This window comes from Homo sapiens, chromosome 13, assembly GCF_000001405.40.
Source record: "Homo sapiens chromosome 13, GRCh38.p14 Primary Assembly".
Taxonomy (NCBI): Eukaryota; Metazoa; Chordata; class Mammalia; order Primates; family Hominidae; genus Homo; species Homo sapiens.
The window spans coordinates 51,044,704-51,072,687 of NC_000013.11; the positions used below are offsets into that span (position 1 = coordinate 51,044,704).

At 43.9% G+C, this 27,984-nt stretch overlaps 1 pseudogene across 1 annotated transcript in view; it reads right to left on the reverse strand.

Annotated features, from left to right (window-relative positions):
- GUCY1B2 (guanylate cyclase 1 soluble subunit beta 2 (pseudogene)) overlaps nucleotides 1–21,454 on the reverse strand; it is a 71,647-nt pseudogene extending 50,193 nt beyond the window's left edge. The window contains exons 1-3 of the transcript NR_003923.2: nucleotides 21,248–21,454; nucleotides 18,118–18,191; nucleotides 3,517–3,611 (exon numbers count right to left, since the gene is read on the reverse strand). The product of NR_003923.2 is annotated as a guanylate cyclase 1 soluble subunit beta 2 (pseudogene) (transcript). The remainder of the gene's footprint in view (nucleotides 1–3,516; nucleotides 3,612–18,117; nucleotides 18,192–21,247) is intronic.
- Nucleotides 21,455–27,984: the final 6,530 nt, after the last annotated feature.

The window sequence follows — 27,984 nt, forward strand, 5'->3', positions numbered from 1 at the left end:
ATGACTGTTTCACTCCTTGTGCCTTATTTCCAGCCTCAGACACAACCTTGGTTCTATCAAAAGATGCAGGTGGGAAGTGACCAGGGGCTAACATACATCTGGTTGGAAGTTGTTTTAACAACCAGTTGGGACACCAGATTCCTCCTAGCTATGATCACCATCACCTGCCAGGCCTCGTTGGCAACTCTGGCCCCTGCTTGTCTCTGTGGCTCCAAGAGAGCAACATGATGAGATGAGACAGCAGGTGGCCCAGAGTGGACAGGGGAAGCAGGTGGCCCAGAGTGGGCAGGGGAAGCAGGTGACCACCTGTTACCAGAGAGGACTCTGAGCACCACACACATCCAGCTTCCTCAGCCTCAATGACTTCCCCCTCCCAGCTTGGCAGAGACTTTGGGCCTCTCCTGGATATGGATCCCTGGAAGGTCTTCTGCATCCAGGAGATGACCAGGAACATGAGAAGAGATGTAGATATCAGTCACAGCGCCATGTGAAAGCCATGGGAAAAGCCCTCTCATCTGTCAGATCCAGTTGCCTGCAAGTAAAGCTGGCACTATCTTTTTAATCATCAGATAATTTTTCTGAAATCCAAAGGGAAGGGAAATAAGCTCAATACCTCACACGACACGGGCACTTTACACATCACTGCTGCGCTCTGGAGAAGCTGCCTGTCCCTGCGGGCTTAGCATTAGCTAGCTGCCCTGGTGTGTTCTCAGGCACGCCTGCTGGGCTGATGACTGTGATACCTGCTACTGGCTTAAACCTATATCATTTCACAAATTGTTCCTGAGAATGGCAAGCCAATTTGCTAGGCCCTCAGAGGCACCATGAAACCAACTCAAAACCATGGCCCCTGCTGCCAGACCCTCTGCAGGCTGCATAAGAGCCAGCTTGCACACTCCCAGGGACTGGGCCTAGCCTGACACTTCCAACAGGGCTATACCCGGTGCCAGGTGACAAGCATGAGGCCTGATGCAGCGTCTGAGTGAGATCATCCTTAAATGCCATCTCACACTCTCACAGTGACCCAAGGCAGCACCGCCTATGAGGAATGGGTGAAGGAAGTTCAACGGGAAGGGAAAGAGGAACCTCATCAAAGATCCTGGGTACAGAGGGGGGCTTCGGCTTCCTGCATAGATCCCTGGAGCCTGGGACGGTGGAGGCTGCCTGCCCCTCCCTCCCCTCAGGCCTGCCCTGGCTCATTGTGTACTCAGTGCTGGTGAGAAGGAAGGATAAAGAAAGCGAGGGTGTATTGGGTTGAATAGTGTGCCCCCAAATTCATGTCCACCCAGAACCTCAGACTGTGACCTTATTTGAAAAGAGAGCAGATGTAGCTAGTTAAAATAAGGTGAGGACATAAGGGATTAGGGTGGGCCCTAAATCCAAAGGCTGCTGTCAATATGAGAAGGCCACGTGAACACACAGGGAAGAAGGCCTGTGGAGATGGGGACAGAGATTGGGGAGATGTGTCTACAGGCTAAGCGGTGCCAGCAACTGCCAGAAGTTGGGAGAGAAGCAAGAGACAAGTTATCCCTAGAGCTTCCAGGGGAATGAACCCAGCCAACACCTTGGCTTTAGACTTCTGGCCTCCAGAACTGGGAGAGAATTGATGTTTGTTGTTTGAAGCCACCTGGTTGTTGGTACTTTGTTACAGCAGCCCAGGAAACACAAAGGGGAGGGAAGGAAGAAAGAAGAAAGGAAGGGAAGGAGGGAGGGAGGGAGTGAGGGAAAGGAGGGAATGAGGGAAGAAGGGAGGGAGGGAATGTTTTTTGAAAGCCTATTATATGCCAGATACCACATATGATATTTTCACATATATTTTCTCATTTAATCCTCCAAATAACTCTGAAGATTAGATCTTGTTCAACCAATGAGAAAACTGTGACTATTTAGGTCATTTGTCCTCGGTCATTAAACTAGAAAGAGGCAGAGCTAATTTCTTTTTTTTTTTTCTTGTTTTTTTTTTTTTTTTTTTGTCCTGTACCTTGTCCCCTCTGGGCCTGGGGAGTGAGCAGATTAACAAGATAAAAAAAATCCAGTGCTAATACATCCACAGGAAAAACCATCCTGGGAGGACACGTACATTGTCAGTGGGACCATCCACACATGGTCCCCCTCCTATGACCCTGTCAATGGCATTTTCATGTCCAGGCAGATGGGAAAATATGCGATGGAGAGCAGATCGGGGAAGGGCCCTCAGCACACTGCAGAGCACCCCACGTCCATTTCCAGGTAAGCACGAGTGTAGGTGGCATAGGCGGATTCTCAATGTTGTTCCTCCTGACACCCAGAGATAATCATAGCAGACCATTCTAAAGGTATTGCAACACCTGTAAAGCCAACATCGAAGCCAAACATGATGGCAGTGGTGCAGACGGTGCTGCTCATCATTTTTGTCTGTAAGAAGCCTAAGGCCACTCAAATGGAAAGGGTCATACCTGAGCCCTGTACTGGGTTAGAGTGCCCCTTAAAATTCATGTCTACCAGGAACTTGTGAATGTGACATTGTTTGGAAATTGGGTAATCAAGTTAAAATGATGTCATTTAGGATGGACCCTAAATCCAATATGCTTGATGTCCTAATGAGAAGATGGAAATTTAGACACAGAGACACAAATACAGGGAGAAGACAGCCACGTGAAGACAGAAGCAGAGGCTGGAGTTATGCCGCCACTAGCCAAGGAAAGCCTGGGGCCACCCGAAGTTGGAAGAGGGAAAGAATTTTTCCTGAGAGCCTTCAGAGAGAGCACGGCCCTGCCAGCAACCTGATTTTGGACTTCTGGTCCCCTGAACCACAGAGAACGAATTTCTGTAGTTTTAAGCCACCCAGGTTGTGATACAGTCGGTCCTCATTATTTGAGGATTTCATATTCACAAATTTGGCTACTTATTTATCTGTAGGCCCGAAATCAATACTCACAGAGCTATCAAGGTCATTCACAGACACAGAATTTCCACCGGCCAACATGAATGCTTCTAGCCAAGGTAGAACAAGGCTGTGCTCTATGTTCTTATTTTAGTTTGAACTATAACCAAGTGTCCTTCTTGCAGTCTATTTAGTGTCATCTTTTTCACATTTTTCTGCTTTTCTGTTGGTGATTTTGCTGTTTAGAATGACCCCCAAATGTAGGCTGAAGTGCCATCTAGTGTCCCTAAGCACAAGAAGACTGTCACATCCTTCCAGAGAACAGGCAGTGTTAGATTAGCCTCCTTCAGGCATGAGTTACAGTACAGTTGGCCAGCAGTTCAATGTGAATGAATCAACTATGTATATTAAATACGTATTTTTTTCACAGAAGCACACATGAAACAAAGTTATGCATTGATTGGTTGGCAAAAATCTTGTGACCAGAGACTTTCAGGAAACTAACCCTGTATTTCCCCTAGGAACAATGGTGCAGTATTCACTAATTCAGGATTGCAGCAGCTTTATAGACTATAACCAATGCAAATAATGAGAATCAACTGGGTTTTGTTACAGCAGCTCTAAGAAAGCAAAACAAGTTCTTTCATACTTACCCAGAATGTTGCAGGCCTCTTGGATGAGCTTAATGGTGATGACGTCATCATACATTGTGTAGGTCATGAAGGCATCTTGTACTTCTGCAGAAGTTCTGGAGGATAAATCGAGGTGCAGTGAATGCTCATCAGCTGGAGCTTTGCCCCAGGAATATATCCACTGACCCAGCAAGATATAATGTAACAATAATCTTCTTGATCATAAGGAATGTGAGACACTGGAGTGTTTGGGTGTCAACTCCTCCAAGAAGCCTTCCCTGGACCTCAGTTTGAGCCCGGAGACCCCTTCTCAAGTACCCAGGATAGGCTATGCATTTCCTCAACTTATATAAAGATTGTTGGTCTTACCCACTAGCTGGTCTCCTTGAGGATGAGCATTGTGACCTGTTTTTATCTTTGAACCCCCAGCAAGTGGCACTGTACTGAGCACATGTTCAGAACTTAATATATGGTAGTAAACTGGAACTCAATGGTCATAGAGTCTTGTTCTCTGAATGGTAGAGCAGCTGCTTGAGTTTCTCACTGTTTTGCAGTGTAGTTGGCTATGTTGCAGGAGTTATGGATGGACTTTAGTCTTCAACAGATAGCCAAGCCTGCTGAAAAGAGGCTTAGCCTGGGAGTCTGAGACTTGCACCCTTGGCTTGGCCCTTATGTGAGTCATCAAACTGTAGTTGGCAACTGAGTTAACAAATGGGGGAAGGAGGTTGGTCAGGGAATGCTTCTCTAAGAAAGGGAGATTTTGCTGAGACTGAAGGATGGAAAGGCAAAGAAGAGCCTTCTGGACAGAGAGAACAGGCTTCTAGGCAGCAGAGAACATGTTTGAAGAACAGAGAGGGGTCAGAGCATTCAAGCTTATCCAGAGCACACCATAGAATCTTGACACTGCGAGAAGTATGGAATTTTCTACATATCCAATTTTCTAAATGTCCAATTTCTTACTGCACGCTATTTCTGACTGCTGGTTTTCCAGTTTCTTCTTGAATGCTTCCAGTGACAACAAGCTCATTCCTTTGCAAGGCAGCACATTCCACTTACCAACTGCTCTCTTTGATGGAAACGTCTTTCTTATGTTCAAATGAAACCCCCTTCTGGGCCCTCATAATACCTCCTATTTATTAAGCATGTGCTTTTGGCCCAAGAGATGACCAATTTATTACTTATCATTCCTCGTACTGTTGAGAAGGCTGATGCTCAGAGGGATTAAATGTCTTGCTATGGTCACCGGTTGACAAGAGAAGGATCTGGGCTCTGAACTTCAAAGCCCACACCACTCCTGTACTGTGCTGCTGGGAATTTACTCACTGGCCTTAGTTCTACCCTTTAGGAAAATGCAGACTGGGCTGGTCCCTCCTCTGGATACCTAACCTTCTAATGTTTGAGGATCCTTATTCATCACTAAATTTAACTATCTCTTTATCATCTTTCTGGACTTCATCTTCCTCTCTGTAAAATGTGGCAATTATTATTACCTGCCCTTCCTATCTGCCAGGAGTGTTGGTAAGGATAAAACAGGATAACAAATCTGAAAGAGCTTGGGGAAAATGAGAACCACCATGCAGATCCTAGGAGAGCTGTGATGACAATGAGAACAAAGGGGCTGCGTAGTGAGTAGGAGGTGACCAGGGCTGGGGTTTAGGAGACTTTGGTTCCAAGCTTATACCTTACACAAATAAGCTCTGAGGGAAAACCACTTTCCCCCTCTGGGCCTTGATTTCTTTATCCGTAAAATAGAGGAGGTACTGGGCAAGATTTGTGTTTCTCCATCTTTTTTAACCTCTCTGCTACACACACATCCACTGGGGATTCTCAGACAGCCCCAGAAACGCTTGTGCACGCAGTTGAGGATCTAGGACTCTAGCTTCTAGGACTAGAAGCTGCTTGAATTCTCCTTCACCTGTAAGAGTTCCTGTTTTGGCCCATGCCTATACAGTGCTTTCTAAGCATCTTCGGAGGCAGCTGTTCAGAGAAACCGGCTGTAGGCCTGCTCGGGCGAGGAGTGCTGTACACCACCACTGCTGCCTAAGTGGGGCACTCTCCACCATGTTGGAGTTGCCTCTTACTCGCCCCCAGGGGCCCACAAGTCTCTGTGAAAACATGTGCCCTCCTTCTGCACCTATAAGCAAAACAGAAACACGTGGACGTGACCCCAGTTTAAACTTGACACATTGTCATAATGTGTTCTGAAGACCTTAGAAAGGGTTAAGTGACCTCCAGGACCGTCAGAAATGTAACAAACTCTGTGGCGCTCCCTGGCCCTCTGATGGGACCACCCATTCACCAATCTCTGGATCTGGCAGCCTGTTCTTTCCTGTAGGCTGAACTGATCATATTTTAGTGTCAAATATTTATTTGGGTTTGTATATATGTTGCACGTTGCTGGGATGCCAGACGTGCCCAGACTGTTATGATTATACAGGGATTTTCAGCCTTGTTTATTGATCTCCACGATCCTGCATATAACATTTCCCACAGAGCCAGTGCACACTTGCATATGTAGTCATTCAAGCTGCTTTAGTAAAACAGTATGTTCACCAAGAATTTTTTTTAAATAAATAAACCAATTGATATCTTCCAATGAGATGACAGAGCCTCTCATATGCAGAGGAGAAAGAGAGAAAAATGACTATTGGAAAGCATTTTGAAGAGATCGAGTTGGAGATGCAAGAAATGTGGGAAATGAAGTAAGAGTTAGATGTTTCCAGCTCACACAAAGAGGAGTACCTGTCATGGAACATGAAAAGTGTCAGCCACATAGGTGCTTGTATGCATCCATGTGCAGGAGACTGAGGAATCAGTGTTTAATTGGCACCAGCAGGCATTCAATATATGTTCCTCTTTAGTTAGTTCCAACTAGCGATACCCAAAATATCTGAGCAGAAAATCAGGGCCAGGCTGCCTATAGCAGAGCAACTCACAGGGCAAAATAAATACACAGATTCCTGAGCCCCAGGAGGTAGTGTCTGAAAATCCATATATTTTTAACCACTCGCCTCAGACGACTGTCCAGGTTTGAAAACCACTGCACAGAAACACTTTTTAGGATTCAGTCTGGCAAGGCAACAGGTTACAAATGATACATTTTACGTGGTTCAACCTTACTAAACTGATGTAATGGTTATTCAGAGTCCAGGGTGAGCCATAAAGCCCATAGGAAAAATGAACAGCACTTTGTAGCAAGATTCAGGCCAAGAGAATGGGATCAATTTAAGCCATAGGAACTCATTTTTTCAACAGCTCTCTTAATGGTAGGTGGGGAATTCATATAACAAACTTGCCTGTCACTGTGTGACTCAAGGTGTACTTGGGGAAAGAGAGGCCCAGAGAGGCAAAAGATTTGTCCTGGTGTCACAACCATCTGGAATTTAGAAAAAGCACCAGACTGTCTTTCTAGCCTGTCCTCCAGCTAGCCTGTCTGGCTCCCCACAGCTTTCCTAATAAAATCTAGACTTCTTAGGTGGACATACCCAGCCTCCACGACCCAGCCTCTGCACCCACTCCTCACCTCCAGCCATTTATCCCATACATCCATTCCTCCAGCTACTCAAACTCCTCTCTTCCCTGCCTTCCCACAGGCTCTGCTCCACTAGAAAAGCTCTCACTTTCCCTGATCTGGCTAACTTGATTCTTCCTTCCCAACTCAGTGTCAGAATCCCGATTCTGGACATTCTCAGCCACTTGCAGATCCGGGCGTCCCTGCTCTGAGCCCCCCGTGCTCTCTGTATCACCTGTCTTCGTGCTAACTGCGAGTGGAATTGATTTGCCCATCTGCATGCTTCCTAGACTACCAAGTTGAAGGATCATGACAATGTCATTTGATTTAATATCTTCAATACCTAGCCCTGTACCTGGCACACAACAAGTACTCAATAAATAATTGTAAGATAATTTCGGTGAGAGACCTAACTTGACAGAGGCTCACAGACTCTGTGTGTCAGGAGGAGACCTAGGAGTTAACCCTGGCTCTACCACCATCTAGCTGGATGACTTGGAGCAAATCTCACTGTGCCTCCATTTCTTCATTTTTACAAAGATAGTATTCAACTAGGTCATTGTCATGAAGACTGTCATGTCTGGTCCTCCCCTTCTCTCCCTCAGCCACCAATGATGTCTCCTTCCTTGACCTCTGATTCACTTAGAAGGATGCTTAAGGCATTTAAGCCAGCAGTTCTCAAAGTATGACCCATGGAACCCCTGCGAATACCTAAGGTGTTTTTAGGAATCCATGAGGCCAAACTATTTTCAAAACCAAATTAAGACATTATTTGCCTTTTGTACTGATTCATATTTGCACTAATGGCACATAAGCATTGGTGAGTAAAATTTGGTGCCTTATAGCATGAATCAAGACAGTGGCACAAAACTATTATATTCTTTTTTTAAATCTTCAGTATATTATTTATAGTCATCATATCCCTCATTGTCACATATGTGCAGTAAAAAAAAATGCCAGTTTTACTTTAGGTTGTTCATTTTGAGGTAGTAAAAATTACTAATGTTATGAAATCTTGACCCTGAGTATACATCTTTTGAATATTTTGTGTAACAGAATGGGAAGTACGCACTCAAATAAAGTACTTCTCCTATATGCAGGAGTGTGAATGGTCACTTCCAGGAAAAGTACTTACACGATTGAGTTATGAGATGAATTAGCCACTTTTTTTAATGGAACATCATTTCCACTTAAAAAACCACTGACAGACGAACTATGGTTACTCAGACTTGGATATTTGGCACACATTCTCTTAAGAAAATAACAAAGTTAGCCTGTCACTTCAAGGAAAATAACTGGCAGAATGTGTTGCCAATGACAAAACTCAAGTTTGGGGAAAAAAGTTGCATCTTATACTGTAAGCTTATTAGCATCCCAATCCTTAGAGGCTAAGGTGATGATGATATTGACAAATGCAATTTTGATATTGTATAGTGAAACATGTCAACATTTGTAAGATTAGCACAAGTCAGTGAGCTAATAGTTTCCAAATAACTCATGCAAGCTAGTACAAAATGATGCGAAAAAATTTCTATCCAAGTGTAACACAGATCAAGAGATTTTAATATAACAGAGTACGAAGAAGGTCATCAGTACAGTTACAGATTCAACATTATAACTGACCTTTGAGAAAATACGATTTGTCAAGCTTTTGTGAGGTTTAAAAGAATAGCCACAATTATCTGAGAAGAGTATTAAATTCTTCTTCCTTCCATATTTTCTTCACAAGTTTCAACCAAAATCATATCACAGAATACATACATTGCGGAAGATGGAATCCCACTTCCATTACTTCCATTAAGTCAGATATTAAAAGAGATTTCCAGAACTGTAAAGTAATGCCATCTTGTCATTAATTTATTTGAATAATATAGTTATCATAAAAATGTTACACTAACATGTACTATTATGTATTACAGCATAATTATATAACATATAATTATTTTAGATAAATTTAAAAATGTTTTTTTAATTTGTTTTAATTTCTAATACCATAAATACCCATAGATTAAACAAAAGCTCTGTGGGGTCTTCAATAATTTATGAGAGTATAAAGGCTTCTGAATACCAAAGTGTTTAAGAACTTCTGATTTAAATCAAGAGTGCTTCAGGTTTGCTTTGGAAGCTAATGAAGCTGAGGTTTCCAGGACAGGGAGGAAGCAGCCTCACCTGGCCCCCTCTAGCTTGAAGCCATCCCCAGCCTGAGGGGTCACCTTATATGCCCTGGTAGTGGTCCTGGATGCCTGTGGGTGGGGCTGCAGACCACCCAGTCCTCAGGACCACTTGCTTCTGGTAGACTCAACACACATCCAGACTCTACTCTAACCCCCAAAAAGGCATCTGAAAGAGAGGCTGCGCATTCCCAGTGGGGACCGCCTGGTCCAAGAGGACTTGCGTAAAAGTAGGGGAGATGGGTGGAACAGGTCGAGGGAGATCAAACGCTGGAGTTTTCCCAGGACTTGCCAACATGAAAGAAGCACACTTCAGCAAGAAACTGCTGAGAAAGTTATGGATGTGCATAAAGAAATTTGTCTAAGCTAACAATGAAAACAAAATACAATAAATACAATTTTCAGCCAGCCATGCTAGAATATTCATTCTATCCTCTTTATAGAAAATGACATTATAAAATCATTGTCCAATGAACAGAAAAAGCAAAATACAGCCAAAGATGCAGGAAAGTATTATAAAAGAGGGTTAGTTAATTTATGATACTAACAATAAAAACATGTTTCCAGCTTTTGATGTTTATGTTATCTGTCAGCTTTAAAGTTTTCTTCCTTAATTCTAAGAAGAGTACTTATTTTTGTAGCTAAATTTTTATTGGTAATTATATTCTTTTTAAAGGAGGCTTCCCAAATTATATAAGCTTCAGGCCTCGTGATATCTGTTTCTACTCCTACTAAGTTTATCTTCCAGGCCCTGCGCAGTGGCTCATGCCAGTAATCCCAGCACTTTGGGAGGCCAAGGTGGGCAGATCACTTGAGGTCAGGGGTTCGAGACCAGCCTGGCCAACATGGTGAAAACTTGTCTCCACTAAAAGTAAGAAAATTAGCCAGGTGTGGTGGAGTATGCCTGTAATCCCAGCTACTCAGGAGGCTGAGGCAAGAGAATAGCTTGAACCCTGGGAGGCAGAGGTTGCAGTGAGCCAAGATCGCGTCACTTCATTTCAGCCTGGGCAACAGAGCGAGACTCCATCTCAAAAAAAAAAAAAAGGAAGAAGAAAATTTATCTTCCATATAGTCATACTAAACAAAAGTATTTCTCAAGCTTTACCTTTGACAGCTTTTGTTAGAAAAAAATACTTCTGCTTTGTATATTTAATATTATAATATTCACTATATTTTTAGAATTTCCCACAGATATTCTCATATGATCTTTTGGAGGCTGAGTCCTCCAGGTGAAATGCTCTGACCAGATTGATTTCTAAGGGCCCTTCTGGCTCTGAGGGGCTGTGGTTTCAGGCAGCTAGATGAACCAGCAAAAATGTTTGTGGCCAGGAAAGGGACAGAAGTGGGGAGACAAGCAACATTTTTGGATCAAAGTTAAAAATAAAAACTCTCTGCTTTCAGCTACTTTTAAACTAGACTTTATTTATGGGAAAAGTAGATAACATGGAGGGCCAGGGGTTTTCAGTCTTGAAGAGAGGGTGAGAAATTTGGTGAGTCAATTGGATGGACGAGGGATAGCAGAAAAGGGAATGAATGAATTCTGACTTTTTCTGGCTCAATTAGCTTTGCGATATACTGGGCTCGAAGGAATGCTTCTCAGGATGTCACAATGTTAACAGCCTTTTTTTTTTTTTTTTTTTTGAGATGGAGTCTCACACTGTCACCCAGGCTGGAGTGCAATGGAGCGATCTCGGCTCACTGCAACCTCCGCCTCCCAGGTTCAAGCGATTCTCTGGCCTCAGCCACCCAAGTAGCTGGTGTTACAGGTGCTGGACCACACCTGGCTAATTTTTTTATATTTTTAGTAGAGACGGGGGTTTCACTATGTTGGCCCGGCCAGTCTCGAACTCCTGTCCTCATGATCTGCCCGCCTCGGCCTCCCAAAGTGCTGGGATTACAGGCGCGAGCCACTGTGCCCGGCCAGCATTTCCTATTTAGCAAGAACAAAAATCCCAAGGATTCATAATCAGGGTTCCTTGATTTTTTTTAGATTGTAGAGTTCTTAGAGATTCTGATGAAAACTATGAACCCTCTCCCCAGAAAATACATATAGTCACATGTACACGACATTTTAATAGATGACTTCGGAGGGTTCTCAGACCTTCTCAAGCCTATCCATGAACCTTTGGTTAAGAACCCATGACATAGAGAGAAGCCATGTAATCCCACCCACCTCTCTCCTAAATGGGTTGGTTGGGCTTGGTAGTCATCCATCCACCTCTCATTCATTTATTCATCTTCCATTCATACACACATGAATCATCCAATCATTCATTCCGTTTTCATGTATTTATTTATACAATGGAGAATATACGTCAGTCCTGATGGCTCTACCCATTACCTCTTCTTAGAGACCCCACCCTCCAAAGTCCATCTGAATGGGATACATATGGACTCCAGACCAAAGACCATCAAACCCTCTTTCTCAGGCATCTGCAATTGAGGCACTGAGAAACTGAGCCAGTCTGATGATGGTGATCTCTTGAATCCAAAGGGCATATAGAAAAGCTTGGAAGAAACAGAAATTAAGTCCAATCATGGTGGCATATACCTGTAATCCCAGCACTTTGAGAGGCTGAGGCAAGAGGATCACTTAAAGTCAGGAGTTTGAGACCAGCCTGGGCAACAAAGCAAAAGCCTGTCTCACCAAAAAATAAAATAAGATAACCAGGCACAGTGCCATGTGCCTCTTATCCTAGCTACTCAGGAGGCTGAGGCAGGAGGATCACTTGAGCCCAGGATTTGAGGCTGCACTGACCTATGAACATGCCACTGCACTCCAGCCTGGGTGACAGAAAAAAAAAAAAGGAACAGAAATCAAAAGACTTTCAGAGAGAAGAGATAACCAGGAAAATAGAGTAAACGTGAAGGGAGATGCAGAGTTGGAAACAGACCTGCTGACTTTCTGTTTCCTCTGAGATTTATCTGTACTTCCTGCAATTGAGTTCTGTTAGAGTCTTCTGAATCTTTATAGTAACTCCTTTAAACATTAGCTTACATAGTGGATTGCTGATCCTTGGAAGTAAAATCCTGGACTAAGTTCTGCAAACAAAGTGCCAAGGGGATGTTAGCCACCTCACCTATGCTCACAAGTGGATGAGGTGAGCACCATGATTATCTCCATTCACAAGTGACCACACCAAAGCTCAGAAACTTCAGTAACCCATTGTCATTAGAAGAAAAGTTCAGCTCCTTCTCATCTTCTACACATTTATATGTCCTGATCCCTAAAACCCTCTCCACCTTCATCTCCTATCAGACTCCTCACATATGATATTCCAAGCATGTTAGATTTTTTTCTTCACTGAGTTCAGTCTGACCTCAGGACCTTTGCACTTGCCATTTTCTCTGGAACACATATAACTTCTCTGTCTTGAGGCTGACTCCTTCCTTCCTTTCAGTTCAAACATTACCTTTGCCAAGAGGTTTTCTCTAACCAGCTCAGGGCAACTGGCATCTTCTCTGCCCAGTCACCACTAAATACTCTAAATTTAGCTCTTTGCACAACCTGAGATTTATTTGTTTATTTGCCTGTTTACTGTCCTCCCCATTGGAATACATTCCCAGGGAACACAGCACTTGCCTATTCCTTTTGCCTCTATTCCCAGTGCCTGAAACTTTGTTCAGCACATTCTAGAAGCTAAATACTTGTTGAATAAATACATTTGCCCAAGTCAAACAGCAAGTAAGTGATCCAGGCAAAATGTAAAGGTTTATCTGATTCCAAAGGCCTTACTCTTCCTAATCCATTAGTTCCTTCTCATTGTTAAATTTCAATAAAGGTTTTAACCAAAAGATTATAAACAAGCAATTTAGGCCAGGCACGGTGGTTCACACCTGTAATCCCAGCACTTTGGGAGGCTGAGGCAGGAGGATCTCTTGAGGCCAGGAGTTCACAAACAGACTGGGCAACATAGAGAGATTTTGTCTCTAAAAAAAAAAATTTTTTTTTTAAATTAGCTGGACATGGTGGTGCATTCCTGTAGTCCCAGCTACTCTGGTGGCTGAGGTGGAAGGATCACTTAAGCTCAAGGGTTTGAGACTGCAGTGAGCTATGATCGTACCACTGTACTCCAGCCTGAGTGACAGAGTGAGACCCTGTCTCTTAAAAAAAAAAAAAAAAAGAGTGATTTATAATTAGAAATCTACAAATCTAGACTATAAGAGAGGAAAATACTGCAAGCAAAGGAGGAGAAACATCTGTTTCCTATTTCATGTTAAGATAAAATTTATGTCATAAGGTCTGGAAACATGCTTCATTTTACCTAATCATTTCTTCTTAAAATTTCTGTAGGAATTGATGGGTTTTTTCTTTCTCAGCTGAAATTCTACTCTAAAAGCATTAGGGAATTTGTTATTTAAATGTGGCCTAAGCAAATCCTTTTGCACAGCCAATAATCTCACCTTAATTTCTCCTTTAAAAGCTGAGTTTTCTGCACTAGTTTTTTTTTCTTTTTTCTTTTTAGTAAATTCTAATATGATGCAATTTTCATAGCTGGTGGACTTCTTAGATTGGCTTTATTTTTGGCTTAAAGATGCATTTCCAATGCAATCGTATAGATGTCTAGTGCTCTGTATACAAACATCCTGAGACCCAGTTAAGCAGATAATTGAAACTTCAAGATGAAAGAGATAAAACCTAATGACACAAGCGCAGGATGTACCCTGCTGGGTTCTCTATTCCCAGACATATTTCTCTGGTTCCCTTGCATTCTTGTACCCTCATTCAAATGTCCTTTATCCCCCTGGAGGTCATGTGGATTCCTGTTTGTTTGGGAATGCTATGAGAACTGCTCTTCTAAAGGAAGAAAGAGATGACATTCCAGCCTTTCAGAGAGGTCGCACCAAGGATCCAAAAAGGAAAAAGTCTCTTCCATCCACTTACACATGGAAAGCTGGAGATTTTTTCCCCCTTGATTTGGAAAGATATGCTGAATATCTCAACCAATGAAGGTTCCAGCAGCTGGCCATGCTATCTGTGTTCAGTCATACCCGGAGGGTGAGAGTCCCTCCTTAAACAACACATCTCAGCTGCCTGTCGTAGGCAGAGCTGAACATGTCATTTTACCTCTGCTCATGTCTAAGTGCTCTGGCTATTTCTGGCTATTTTCAATGATTTCCAGAGCCCTGGCCTTTCTCCTAGGCAGGACAGGTTCTTCTAAGCAGCAGCTGAGCTGAGGCTAAATGTCCTAACCAGGAAATCACATGGTAGAAAATTCGTAAGTCAAAAATCAATCAACAAAAATCCATCTCTCCCCTTCACGGCCTGGTCCCTAGCATTTATGAGGGTTCCTCAAGGCAGGGCTAGACAGTGGCCCACACTAGGCGTCAGGGAGATCAGACTGAAATGAGGAGTGGAGATAAAGCCATTCAGCAAATCACACTAACTTTAGGAGGCAAGGTCTCCTCTGGGCAAAGAGAAAGCCTTTGAGGAATATCTGCTTCTTCAAGATGGAAAGCATCATTATCTGACCAGCAGCAAAGTGGTTCTAATAATGTCAAGTATAATGTAATCTTAATGTAGCACCTATATCTCAGAGAGGAGGAAGGATGCTTACTGAGTTTCTACTAGGCACTTCTGTGTAGATTGCACCACTCAATTCTCTCCTTAACCCTAGAAGATAGGTACATTATTCCCCCTTTATCAATGAGGAAACAGAGCTTCAGAGAGGTGAAGCAACCCGCTCAAGATCACACAGCTCTGAGCAGCAGAGCCCAGATGCAAATCCAGTCCAGTGGGACGCACGCCACTGCCCCCCACCTCTCCCCCAACCCACGTGAGGACGAGCATCTTGAAAATAAGCCAATACCAAGCACTGAAGCAGCCATTATGCAACAGCAGCTTGCATTTGTTGAGTGCTCATCCTGGGCCACTCATTTTTTCTAAGTGCCTGGTTTGTATCATCAATCTCAGTTAACACTTGCAATAACCCCATGAGGTTAGCTGCTTTTATTATTTTTCTTTTCAGATGAAATACCTGAGTCGCAGAGTGGTTAAGTGCCATGCCAGGGTCATACAGACTGTAGGCCTTGCTTCTGGGCTTTGAGTTCAGCATTGTAGCCCCAGAGCCCCCGCTGAATCCAACGACTGCTTCCTAAGGACTTGCAACAATGCCGTGTTTCTGAGAATATGAGTATCCTATTTCCCAAGTTGGTTCCCCACCCCACCATGCAGTGTCCACCCAACAGCTTGGCTGAGCCTGCCATCTCTCCTTCCTCCTCCTAAGACGCCTTGCCCTCTGCATAGGAGCAGCTGATCCTCTGGAAGGCCCAGGTGTGCATGGCTGGAGCTGACCTGCCCCTGTCAAGTTTGTAGCAGAGGAAACGATCCCAGTTTCCCATCTGACATGGCCCTTCAGCACCCTAGTTCCTGTGTTCCAGGCATACCTGTAATGTTTCCACAGATTCTAAAGCCATCCAGGCCAAAAGGCTTATTTGCTTCTTCAATCCTCCAGTGTTTTTCATAGTACCAGGCCTACTATGGGAGCTCAGTAAACACATGTTTAAAGACACACCTCTCTTATTTCACCCAGAGCCCCTGAAAATGAATTCCCACGTGGTGGCGGGTGCCTATAGTCCCAGCTGCTGGGGAGGCTGAGGCAGAACAATCATTTGAACCTGGGAGGCGGAGGTTGCAGTGAGCCGAGATCACGCTACTGCACTCCAGCCTGGGTGACAGAGTGAGACTCCGTCTCACCAAAAAAGAAAAAAAAAAAAGAAAATGAATTCCCGTTGCCAGTTGCTCTTCCTTTCCCCAGGTAGAATGGCCTAATAGAAAGGAGTCTTTGCAGTTACCGACCTGGATTTGTGTCCCCACCCCAGCCCCCTTATGCACTGTGCAGTCTTCAGCATCATCCTCTCCGGGACTGTTTCCTCTTTGGTGAAGCAGGGCAATACCTTGCCTTGCAGTGTTCTTGTTGGGCTTTCAAAAGACCATTATATAAGAGGCATGGCCGAAAGTAAGTGCTTAAAATAAGAAGACTGCTCTTTCCTGTCCTCTATTCTTACTGAGTTTAGCCTTTACAACGCAATGGCTGTTACAAAAAATAAAAAAATGAAAAAGTCTTCAGATGCTTCTCTTCCCACGGCCGCATAGGGGGCTGAAAAGGAGCACTTTAAGGTTCTGACAGCGCATCCTGGCCCTGTTGCTCCCTTGCTGTGCAGTCTTGGCCAAGTCACTTAACCTTTCTAGGCCTCAGTTTCCTCACCTGTCAACTGTGAAGATCTGGGCTAAATAATCTCTCAAGGGTCCACGAGTCCAAGGTTTCCCTGATCATAGTTACTCAGTGCTCCTACTTAAAATATTTGGAAATGAATATTCTTCGCCTCTATGAGGCCAGAGCTCCTTTTTCCCATCTAAACTTGTGGAGCTGTAAGCAATTTACCCCAGAGATGCTGATTTACCCCTGGGCTGCCTTCCCGAGAATAAGATGGTTGATGGTGTCCTGTGTGTGAGCAGTGGGCTGCAGTGACCAGGCCTGTGCAGGGCCATGGGTCTGGGCAGGACCTACCTGTGGCAAGTCACTGTGCTCTCAGCTCGATTTATTTTATTTTTAAAATGGGGGTAGGAGGAAGAGGAGGGAAAGTTTGCATTAAGCATTTTAAGTTGTTTTTACATTACAAAAGCAATAAAAACATAGCAAATTTGGGAAATAGATGTTAGGAAAAAAAATCATCCAGCATTTTATCTAATTCAGTCACTATTAGTTATTATTTTGGTCTTTCTCTTAACCCTTTTTCATTTGTGTAATTTACCTAGTAGATATGTAACTTGTGTCTTTTTTGGTTTTTTTCTTATTTTTTTTAACAGTATTGTCATAAAAATTTGCAAGTTGCTTCATGATCTTTGCAATCACTATATCATGATGCATATTTCTTTTGTCATTCTATGTGTTTGTTGGTTTGTTTTTAACTACTAAAGACAATTTTTATTTTATTATTTATCAATATAAAGCTACATTATATCTTTTTGCATATATATGCATATATGTGTGCACAAAGGTGTGCATTTCTAAGAGAATAGATTCTCGGGAATGGACTTACTGCTTCAAAGGATTTGATCATTTGCACAGCTTTTGGTACATGTTGTCAGATTGCTTTCCAAAGGGGCTGCACTGATTTACTATGCCATCAGCGATTACCCATTTTGCTGCATCTTAACCAGAACTGGTTATTATCATTTAAATTTTTTGGAGATTTAATAGGCAAAGCAGTGCCTAATTGTTTTAATTTGCATGGCATTGATGAACTGAGGAAGCCAATCATTTTTCCATATTTTTGTTTTCCTCTCCCTTCCTAGGATCAAGTGATTTCTGAGGCACTTTCATCCCCAGCTTCTAACACTTTAGGTCTGGGAGCCTCTAGGGAAGCAGACAGATAGCACAAGATTGCAAGAGTCAGACAGGAGACTATATGGAGATATAAATGATGACATTAAGGGGTTACTGGACAGAGGCAGAGGAGAAAAACTAAGAATTAACCAAAGAACACCTAAGAAGTGATTCTGGTCAAACTTAAAAGGTATCTCCCCTCTTCTGTTTGGCAGCTCCCTTGATGTGCAATGGAAATAATGCAGTTGCTCTCTCTTCTGTGATTAGAAAGAGAAAATGAGAATTCATTCATGAGATAAAAGTTAAAATAATGTTGGTATTATTTACAGTGAGATCCCATTTAAGGCTGATTTTGGTAATCAAGACTGATACCTTCATCGAAGACAGATAAGGTGTACCAGGTGTTTCCTGTATCTAATTCATATGTTTACGGTACGGGAATTGGTCTCCCTAGTAAATGAATCTCTTTGAGAACCAGCTGTATCTTTTATGATGGGTTCATTCAACTAACTGGCTTAATCAAAAGGTCAGTAAAAAGCTGTAACCTTTAAAACACTGGAGGCTTACCAGTTGCTCCAGAGATACTTCATCTTCCCTTTCACATACTTACTTCAATTTTTCCCATGTTTCTTCACCAAATTTCTCTATCACAAGAGATTGCAGACAGGTGTTGATAAATCCATACTAGAATACAAAACCAGAAGAAAAATATATATTATGAGGCATGAAATCCCCAGTCATACACATCTTCATGTCTTTTAGGAAATGTGCAATGGCATCCTCTTGGAGAAACTAATTATACCTTTTCCTTGTTTCTCGTGATTTAATTTAATAGCTCTGCTCATTCCCAACTTAGGAAAAACCTGGCACCCCACCGCTTGGGTTATTTCTATATAGAAAACATATGAACTACATTTGAAATCAAATTGTAATTAGAGAAAGTTAAAGAAAGTATTTACTGTCAATTATAATCCTCTCCGAAATAAGGAACTGGTTTGTTAGAACAAAGAATTCAAAAACACACCAGTGGCATGGAGGTGTTTAGACCTGGCAGAAAGGAAGGGCACACACTTCATGTCGATTCCAAAAAGGCAGTGACAGGATGATTTTTTTTTTCTTTATAAAAATGAATCTATACCTGGGTGTGTGTGTGGAGAATATAACGAGTGCAGGAAAACAGAGGAGGAAACTCCAATAAGAAAGACAGCACCAGGTTAACAGAAAGAACTGTCTTCTGGGTTTGCTCATTAATCTGTGCTCTTTCTTCTTCCTCCATCAGAGAAAAAAAAAAGGAGGACCCATGAACACTTCTGCTTAGTGAGGGATAGTGTGCCCCAGGCAGGCCACCTGCCTTCCGCAACTCGGGGCTCCTAACACAAGCAGGGTGATTGAGTTATGTTTGAAAGCACTGTGTGAGCTCAGCTTTCAAAATATTTCTTCCTGAAGGGAAGAATTCTTTTGTCACACAAATATCAGGCTCCAGATTTATTTTATAAGTTTGGATTTTCATATATATAGGAATTTCTTAAAGTGAAAGAGCCCAGTGCCAACAGGAAGGCGAGTGTCTAAACTCTGGTAGTTATTTTCCAGAAATGGAAATATTTGTCCTACTGGGCTATATTTCCAGTTCCCCACCACCAATGTCATCCTTACTCCTTACTCCATCTTGTCCCGCCTCTACGCTCCCCAATATGTGCCCGCACCCTAGCCTGGCATTCAGAGCACTCTCTAGAACTGTCTTAATTTGTTTCATTTTATCACCTACTCCTGCTGCCTTAGGCTCATCCAAAATGCCTACCACCCTTCCCCAAACAGAGATGTCATTTCTTCAATGGATAGAGTTTCCTCCTTTCTCACCCAGTCAGCCCAGGGCAAGGCCAGGCTCTGAGGCTACTGGGATACTGCCTGGTCTGCAGAACCATTTCCTCTCCCTCTGCCAGACCCAGCCATCATTCCCTGTCAGGCTCACTGCTGGATGCCTCTGTGTCCTCAACACCACAGAGATGGTGTGTTAACTATCACATGCACACGCTCGGGTTTTGTATCTGTCAACACACACATATATATATACACACAGGCATGTATGTATGGGTGTGCATGTATTTGTATATACTTATATATATTATGTATGTTTATATGTGGCCATGTACACATATAAATGCATATGTGTGTATGTATATATATATTTTTTTCCTGTCCTTTGTTAAATTGCAAGCTCCTCAGGGTCAGGAAGTAAGTGTCATTTATCTATATTTTGACTAAAGTGCCAAGACACTGTCTGCTACACAGGAGGTATTTAACAAACACTTATCGAGCAAGGAAGTACTGAAATGAAGCCTCAAGTCTCATGAAAATCTTTAAATAACCCGTTATTCAACATCAATCCAATGTAAACAAAGATAGCAATTGTTCAACTTAGCAATCTTTGCAAAAGTATGCCCAATCAAATAAAACATCATGCCCACTGCCCGAGCACTAGAGACAAACTTCTAGTGTGTAACAAGGGAAACTGAGGCAGTGGGGAATTTGAAGTCTGCTGCTAGTTGATAACCACATCACCTACTTCTAGGTCATGACCACCCCGATAGTGTGCCTCTGTTTGATGAATTTAGGGCCATTGAGTCATGTGGTCCAGCATTTGTCTTTGGTGTTCAGCAGTTCCCCAAGCTGGTACCAGAGTTAATCATTTAGAGACCTTGAGCTTATAGATCAGAGAGTGGCCCCCTCACCCTCTACTGATTATAAACATGTCCCTTTCCTGTCCACTGAAATCAGGTGACTTTCTCTGCCCCTGGAGAGAGCAAAAGAGGCAATGTATCCCACACGATGTGTCGAGCATATGCGGGGACCTTGGTGTTTGCTGCCCACACCCAGGTGGAGGGGGATACTTGGTAGGACACACTCCCTACACATTTGAGGGCCTCACTGAAATAAGTAAGAATGGCAAGCCAGCACCAAAGTTCTCTAACCATCTGGAACTAGTGCTGCTCAACCAGTGAGATCAGCAAGCAGGCAGGGACTCTCATTTGCTGGTGACACCCAAATCTTTCAGAGGCTACTTGGGCCATGGCTGCAGCACCCCCAAAAACATCTGCGTTCCAAAGAAGCAATTAAAATGTCTGAAAATGTTAAGGTTTAGCCAAATCTTTCTCCTGTAAAGATGTTTTCACATTCCATATCCAGTCCTACTCACCGTGCCTGCCAGGCATTGGCTGGGGAATGTGGCTTCAAAATAAAATGCAGTCTCAGTAAGCCCAGAGAGGGAGTACAGCTTAGGAGAAAGGGTTTGGGCTCTGGAGCCAGAAGGGTTTCTGTTTCTGTGACTTGTAGCTGTGCAGCTTTGGGTAAATTGCCTAACCTCTCTGAGCCCAGTCTGCTCATGAGCTAAAGTGGACATAATACCGTTTGCTGTGTTGGAGGATGGTTGTTGGGGTTATAGAGTAACGGTTCTGAAGTTAGACCATGAGGGCTCATTGCTGACCCCAAGTCTTATTTGCTGTTTGACTCAAGCCAGATCTTACTCACCCTCAGTTGTCTCATTTGGAAAATGGGGGTGAGAATGGTCCCTTCCTCATAGGGTTTTAGTAAGCATTAAATGAGGTAATACGTGTGAGGTACTTGGCACATAGTAAGCGCTCAGGAAACTGTAGCCTCTTAGATAACAGGCATTTTGAACAATAGGTGCTCAACAAACAGAAGCGGAAGGAAAGTCAGGGCCAAGGGTGCTGAGAGCTGCTCACCATGTTCCTGCCGCAGCTGCTCCTGGGGCCACAGGGATTGAGATGCAGCACCAAGCGCCCGCCCTTCCTGCCAGCCCCTAGTCACTCAGGAGAGAATCCACAGCGTCTCCAGAAGCCTGTCTTGTAGAAATCTGGGCAGTCCACAGTGAAATTAGGAGCTCATCACTAGCCTCCAAGCAAGGAGCACACTGTTGGGTCCTCAGTCACCTGCGGGGTAAAGCATAAGGCCGCCCCCTCTGGTGAGCAAGTGGGACCTGCTGCCTGGCACCCCAAGTCGTGCACACCCCAGATGCTAAGCTCTCAGGAGTTCAGCCTGAAACCTGAAGCTTCTCCCCGAGGTGCCAACGGCACAGAACGCCTTTCTGCAAGCACAGAAAAGCATACACCCCTAAGCTCCTGTAGGAAGACTGCCTTGTAGATGAGGCTGTCTATTGAGTGATCTTTTTAGTGTATCTTTAATTAAACCACGTTGGATGCCATCCAAGAACGGCCTGCCTTGACCAACACTTGGCCCTACAGTGTCATAATGGGAAGTCCCCTGGTGCCTTGAGCCTTATCCTCCATCCCCATCACTGTTCCGTTTCAGGCTCTGGTGGGCTGTTTGCCAGAGGTCTATTTCCTGAGTATTACTTGTGGTCAGAGGTGAGAAATCCAGCCACTAACCAGGTCCAACAAATGTCGCCTGTAGCTGTTCCAACACACATGCTAGCTTTGGTGTAAAAACAGAGAACAAATAAATACATTTAGTAAAATCAAAGGCTGGGGTAAGCCCTCCAGGCAGTGTGGAGGTGTGGGGCACTAGAGGGATGTGACTCATGGTTAAGACAGTCTGTCGAGGACCACAACGCCACAGACTGGGGCCGTCCACTGAAACGAACGTCCAGGCATCGCACGCCCTCCTGGAAGACTTCAGCATCTTTCCCTTGGCATCCGAAGTTTGCTGAAAGATTCTTCCCTTCTCAGTAGGCACTCCTTCACTCTCCGCTGTTGGCCTCCCTCTCCTATCCTGCCTGCCCTTCTTTCTGTCACTCTCCTTAGAAAGACTTCCTGGTCCTCCTTCCACTCAGCCTTTCTGGCTCCTTTGCTTTTACTCTCCCTGCTTAACTCACGCCAGCTCCTCCATAGAAGGACTTGACACCTGGAGAGACTGGTTTCAGCCCCCTCTTCTTTCTGAAATGGGGACTTTACTTATTCTCAAAAGCTGGACTCTATGTGCTGCTCCTCTGTGGAAGGAACATGTGGTCAGGAGGAGAAAAAAAAAAGGCTCAGGAATAGATGATTTCCATAATTACGCTTCGCAAACCCTTGCCTCCATTCAGCTGACACTCTTTCTTTCTGCCCTGCCAAGCGGGCTTGCTCTGGCGCTCTCTCACAAACCCCCTCCCCACCCCCAACCCGCTTTTTCAAACACATACACCAGCACCCTCACATTTCACAATAAGTAAATGGTTTAAAAAAAAAAAATCTCCATTTTCTTTTTCATGCGGCAGATGGCAGTTCTCAGGAACTTGGTGGAAATTAGGCTTTCTGATTTTCTGATAAATTTCAACATCTCACACAAAAAGCACAAGCTCATTTTGATTCTGATGTTAAGTACCATATGGCATATCACCCGTGGAACGTGGCAGCTTCATAACCAGGGTAACAAGGAAGGGAGGGTCTTTCCTGTAACAACGAGGCTGAGTGGGAATGAACCAATTGGATTCCTGGGTGAATACCATTTGATAATAATATTGTATATGACAGTGGAGTAATTATCCCTCTTTTATGGTATGTGTTAATTTTCACTGCCAGTTTCCCTAATTACAACTGCCACCCAACGGACTACTTTTTGTAAATACTCTGTAAACATTTGAAAAGACATAGACAGTGCTTGTACCAAAAAAAAAAAAAAAAAGTCCCTAGATTTTGAAACTGTCTGGAAAATTGGCTGACGTTTTATATGTTTTTCAATTGCATAGACAGCCAGGGAGGAAATTTCACTATATGGAAATTCCCCTTCTCTCCTCCATGACATAATGGACCTCCCTGCCGATACTGTGACTGTTGTTTTGAGGGATATTTTTCGCTGTTACCTTTTTCTATATTAAGTGCGCAGTTTCATGATCTTTGACAAATGTACACTATTGTGTAGCTCACACCCTAATAAAGATATGGAACATCTCTGTGGTCATGGAAATTTCCCCGGTACCCCTTCTCAATCAGTCCTACCACCCTCAGCTGCCCCTATTCCGATTACTATCATATTATCGCCACAGACTAGTTTTGCTTGCTCTTGAACTTCACGTGAATACAGTCTGTTCTCTGTTGTGCCTGGCTTAACTTGTTAACTCACTTTTGGTGCATTGAAGAGTTCAAACACCATTCCCCAAATTAGTAACATGTATGTAAACACAGTCTCGCTTGATGCGTGTCCTGTGATAAGTGATGAGATCCAATAAGCCACATCTCATCTCCCGTGATCTATGTATGATGTGCGATGAGAAACACAAATCTTTTATTTTTCATGGACTTGCAGGGAGGGCGGGATACCATTGGGAGGTCGCTGGAGTAAACCTCTATCATTTAAGGAAAGAAACTAGAGGGAGAATGCAAGGTAAGAGTGTCTGAGAGGAAGATAGGACCCTGATCTGGTTTTTGGTGGTTTGTTTGTGCATTTCTGGGAACGCAGCTGCCTCATTCCTGGTAGGAAGCCTTTCCTGTGGTTGATTTGTTGCCCCCAGTCTACCTCAGACTGCCTGGCTTCTGAGCCGCTGCTGGCTTTCTTTCCAAGGCCTACATCAGCAGAGGAAGGTGTCCCCGGACACAAGACAGGGTGTGGCTGAAGCTGGGCTCCCAGAGGCCCGTCTGTTAAAAAATACGCCCCCACCCCCCACCCCCCAGGCCTGCCAGGTCTCTGAAATTCTCATTCCTTTTAGCTACAACTTGGGAAACTTCTGACAGAATAAAAATATATTCCTTTGGCTGAACAGATTAGCTAGTATTCACCTAAGAAGGAAAAGGACATAGAACAGTTCAACTTTGATGTGTGTGCTTCAGAGGGACTGAGAGGATCAATTTCCACATCAGTCCAAGGCATAGAGTGCTCTCTGAGAGGCAGGCTCTGCAGAGGGAGGTCTCCATCACCTAGGGACCGCAGAGGCACAGAATGAAAGAGTTCAGCTTTACTCGTGTGGCAGGTGGTACTGGGATGGCCTTGAGTTTTCTCCCTTGGTAGGATTAATATCTCATTGAAAGATGTCTTGAGGCTGGGATAACCTGGCTAAAGGTGGAGCTATGATAAACAGCCAGATCTCTTTTGGCATATTTGCGTATTAGAAACTTTAGTATGCAGCAACAACTGAGTCAGCTATCAGTAAGAATCTTCAGGAAAAAAATAACCAGAAGACAGGGCGGTTTGTTTTCCTAAATGTTCATAGTAAGTGCTTGTACTCTTTTCATGCCAGCTGTAATAATAATCACTCACTTTCACCAAGCCTCACAATATGCCTGGCACAAAGCACTTTCCATGTTTTAGAATGAGCCACATGAAATTGCCATTTTTTACAGGTCAAAGACTTTAGAATTGAACGAACTGAACCACTTGCATTTCGTTCTACTTAATATTAATTCAGCCTTACCACAATCCTATAGTGTAGGTCCTATTATCATAAACACCCTTGACTGATGGGAGCATTGAGGTGAAGAGACATGAAGTAGCTTCCTTGAGGCTCCAAAACTAGTTAGTGTCAGAGCTGGTATTCACAACCAGGCCTATGTCCTATATCACCTTCAAGAGAAGAATAAAACTAGCTGCTGTTAACCCCTCTCTTTTTTCTGGAAGAGGTTTAGGCCTGTCTTGGAGTCAGACAATATCTTCAGAAAAAAAATCTCTTTTTCCAGGAATGTCAAAACTCTGGCTTATGTGAGCCCATTTTATTTCATCAGCCACACTGGAAAGTGAGGTTTGATTCACACATGTGGTTGAGTACAATGTTGTGAAAAACACCTGAAAATGGGCTCTGAATGTGGAATTCTGAATCCTTTGATTTCAGACAAGAGGTCCTTTGATTTCCCCTTAGGATGGATGAAACCAGCAAGAACTGAGGCATTTCCTACAGGGTGGTAACCAGCTAGTGAACCCAGCTCACCTCCTCAATTGCTAACGGCCCCATACTCGTTGACAATGATATCTGTGTATTCTAAGAACTAGAGGGCAGGGCTCTTTCCTTTTCAGTTTGATTTTCAAATCTTCAGCGATGCATTAAGAGGACCAGCGGGATTGCTGAGCGTAAAGCGCCACCGTGTGGCCAAAGCCCCACATGCCAACAGGACGCTGTGTAAGTCATTCCCGCAGGAAGGGAGGCAGGAGGTGTGTGGCTCTGAAGACTCACAAATCCTGACCAGGTGCAGGATCATGGCTCAGAGGACTGGGCTCAAGTCTGAGTCTTCACCCTGCAACTGGTACTTGAGGTCTGGAGTAATCATGAAAAAGTCCTCTGTCTTTCCCAAGTGATAGTGCCCCTCAGTGTAAAATGAGGCTACAACCTTCTCCAGGTGCAGTGGTCCCAGAACTGCAAAGAGAATATACATCTGACTTTGTACATTATGTACAGAACCCAGGCAAGAATGGAGGTGAGGTCTCGCAACACTGGCACTCGAGGTAAGGGCTCCTCAAGACCAAAGTCAACAATCTTCAAATCTAACCTAATCTATACTTCCATTTGATAAAGGAAAAGTTGCAAATAAACCAGGTGATCTGGGGACTATATATAAGGAGGCATGACAAAAAAGGATTGTTACATTGTAACCAACTGAATGTAACTTGCAGATTTATGTATTTTGAGAGCCCTAATAATAATAATAATATGAACTGAATATTTATTGTGCTTACTCTGCCAGACACCAGGCCAAGGGCTTTATGTGCATTATGCTATCAGGTGCTCATGAGGGTCCCATGAGCCCAATCTTAACCACAAGTCGGTGCAGTGCTGTCTTCTTCAAAACAGCTTTCTCAGGAGACTGTACTTCCTCCAATTGAAACATTTTGAGAATTTCTCTTTTACAGCTACTTTCAGAGTGTGTGGCACAATTTTTGAATATCCTAAGTGATAGCAAATCAACATTCTTTCATTATGACAATAGTTAACAGTTACTATCTACCAGGCACTTTAACAGGTGTAAATTCATTTAACCTTCACCATGACACTATATGTTAGGAAATGTTATTATCGTGCCCAATTCCCATTTGAGAAAAATAAGGCGTAGAGGGCCTAAATCATCTGCCCACTTTTACACAGCCAGGGCCTCAGGCCTGCAGCTTGGATGAGACCGTGTGAGACAGGGTGAGGCTGGGTAGTTTTTTCTTTGCATGAGGGGGTACTCGGGATCCAGAGTCCATCCGCACTCCCACCCAGTGCAGGCCAGAGACCACTCAGTGAAAGGAGCACCTAAGTCATGAATGACACTTCAGCTGCCCGTGGGCTTCTGCTACAGGCAACTGTCTCTCAGCAGGGCTTGAGTTTTAGAAACAGTCAGAAGGAGTGCAGAGCTGGGTCTCATGAGACAGGTTAGTGAGCTTTCAGCTGTGGACAGTCCGATTTTGAATAAAAATTGAGACTGTTTTTCTCACCTGGCTGTGAAGCCTGCTCCACCAACCCTGCCGGTCTCCCATGCCGCTTCCCCTCTCGCCCTCTGGGCTCAGTCCGCACCCTTGGAGCACTTCCTGCTCATTGGCCCACTCTTTCTCGAACCTTGCTTGCTCCTCCTCTGCTTAGCTTCTGCATGCTGGGGTACTCCAGGCCTCAGGTGTCAGCTTCCTCCCTCTTACATCTCCACTCAGCACCTAGGTGACCTCACCTCCCTGTGGCTTCAAATTCCACCTCTGCGAGGATGGCCCCGGGATTACACCCTAGACCAAGCCATTCCCCTGAGCTCTACACAAAGATACCTAATTTCCCATTTGACATCTCTACTTGGAGGTCTACGGAAAGCTCTAAGTAAACATACCTAAAATAGATCTCTTGATTTCCCTCGCCACCAAATACCCCTGCCCATCAGCCCATCCCTCATTCAACTCAATAAAGGGAACCTCTATCACGATCCCATGTCTCCATATCGAATTCACAGCAAACCTAAATACTGGAAGGTTCTCCTTCAGAGTTGATCCTAAATCCAATCATCTTTGGTTACTTCCCTATCCCCACCCTGATCAAGCTACTCCCTCAGGACCCTACAGAGCTGCTCAACAGCTGTCCCCACCCCACCCCCATCCCCAGTCAAAACCTCACCCAACAGCCAGAATCATCTTTTAAAAACGTGATCAGATTGTGTTATTCCCTTGCTCAGAACCCTCGAGCACTCCTGGGCACCTTCCTTCCTTCTCCTCAAGATCCCTTGATGCCGTTTCACATGGAGCCTTCCTTTGCCTGGGCAGTTCTCCTCCTGGTCTCCTCCTGGTCCTTTGCCTGGGCAGTTCTCCTTCTGGTCTCCATTAATCCCCCATTTCATTCCATTAAAGTGTCACCACCTCTGAGAGGCCTCCACTGACTGAACTCCCCACCTTCCGCCTCTCTACACTCTGTGCCTTTCTCCACCAGACTTCACAGCATTTCACCCCCGGCCCTTTATTCTACGTAAATATATATGCATGTCATAGATGACTACTTATTGCCTATACACCTCTGCCCCCAAATTTAAAATCTCTGAAGGAAGGGATCTGGTCCTATTCTGCCTTCAGGGCCTAGAAGAGTGCTTGG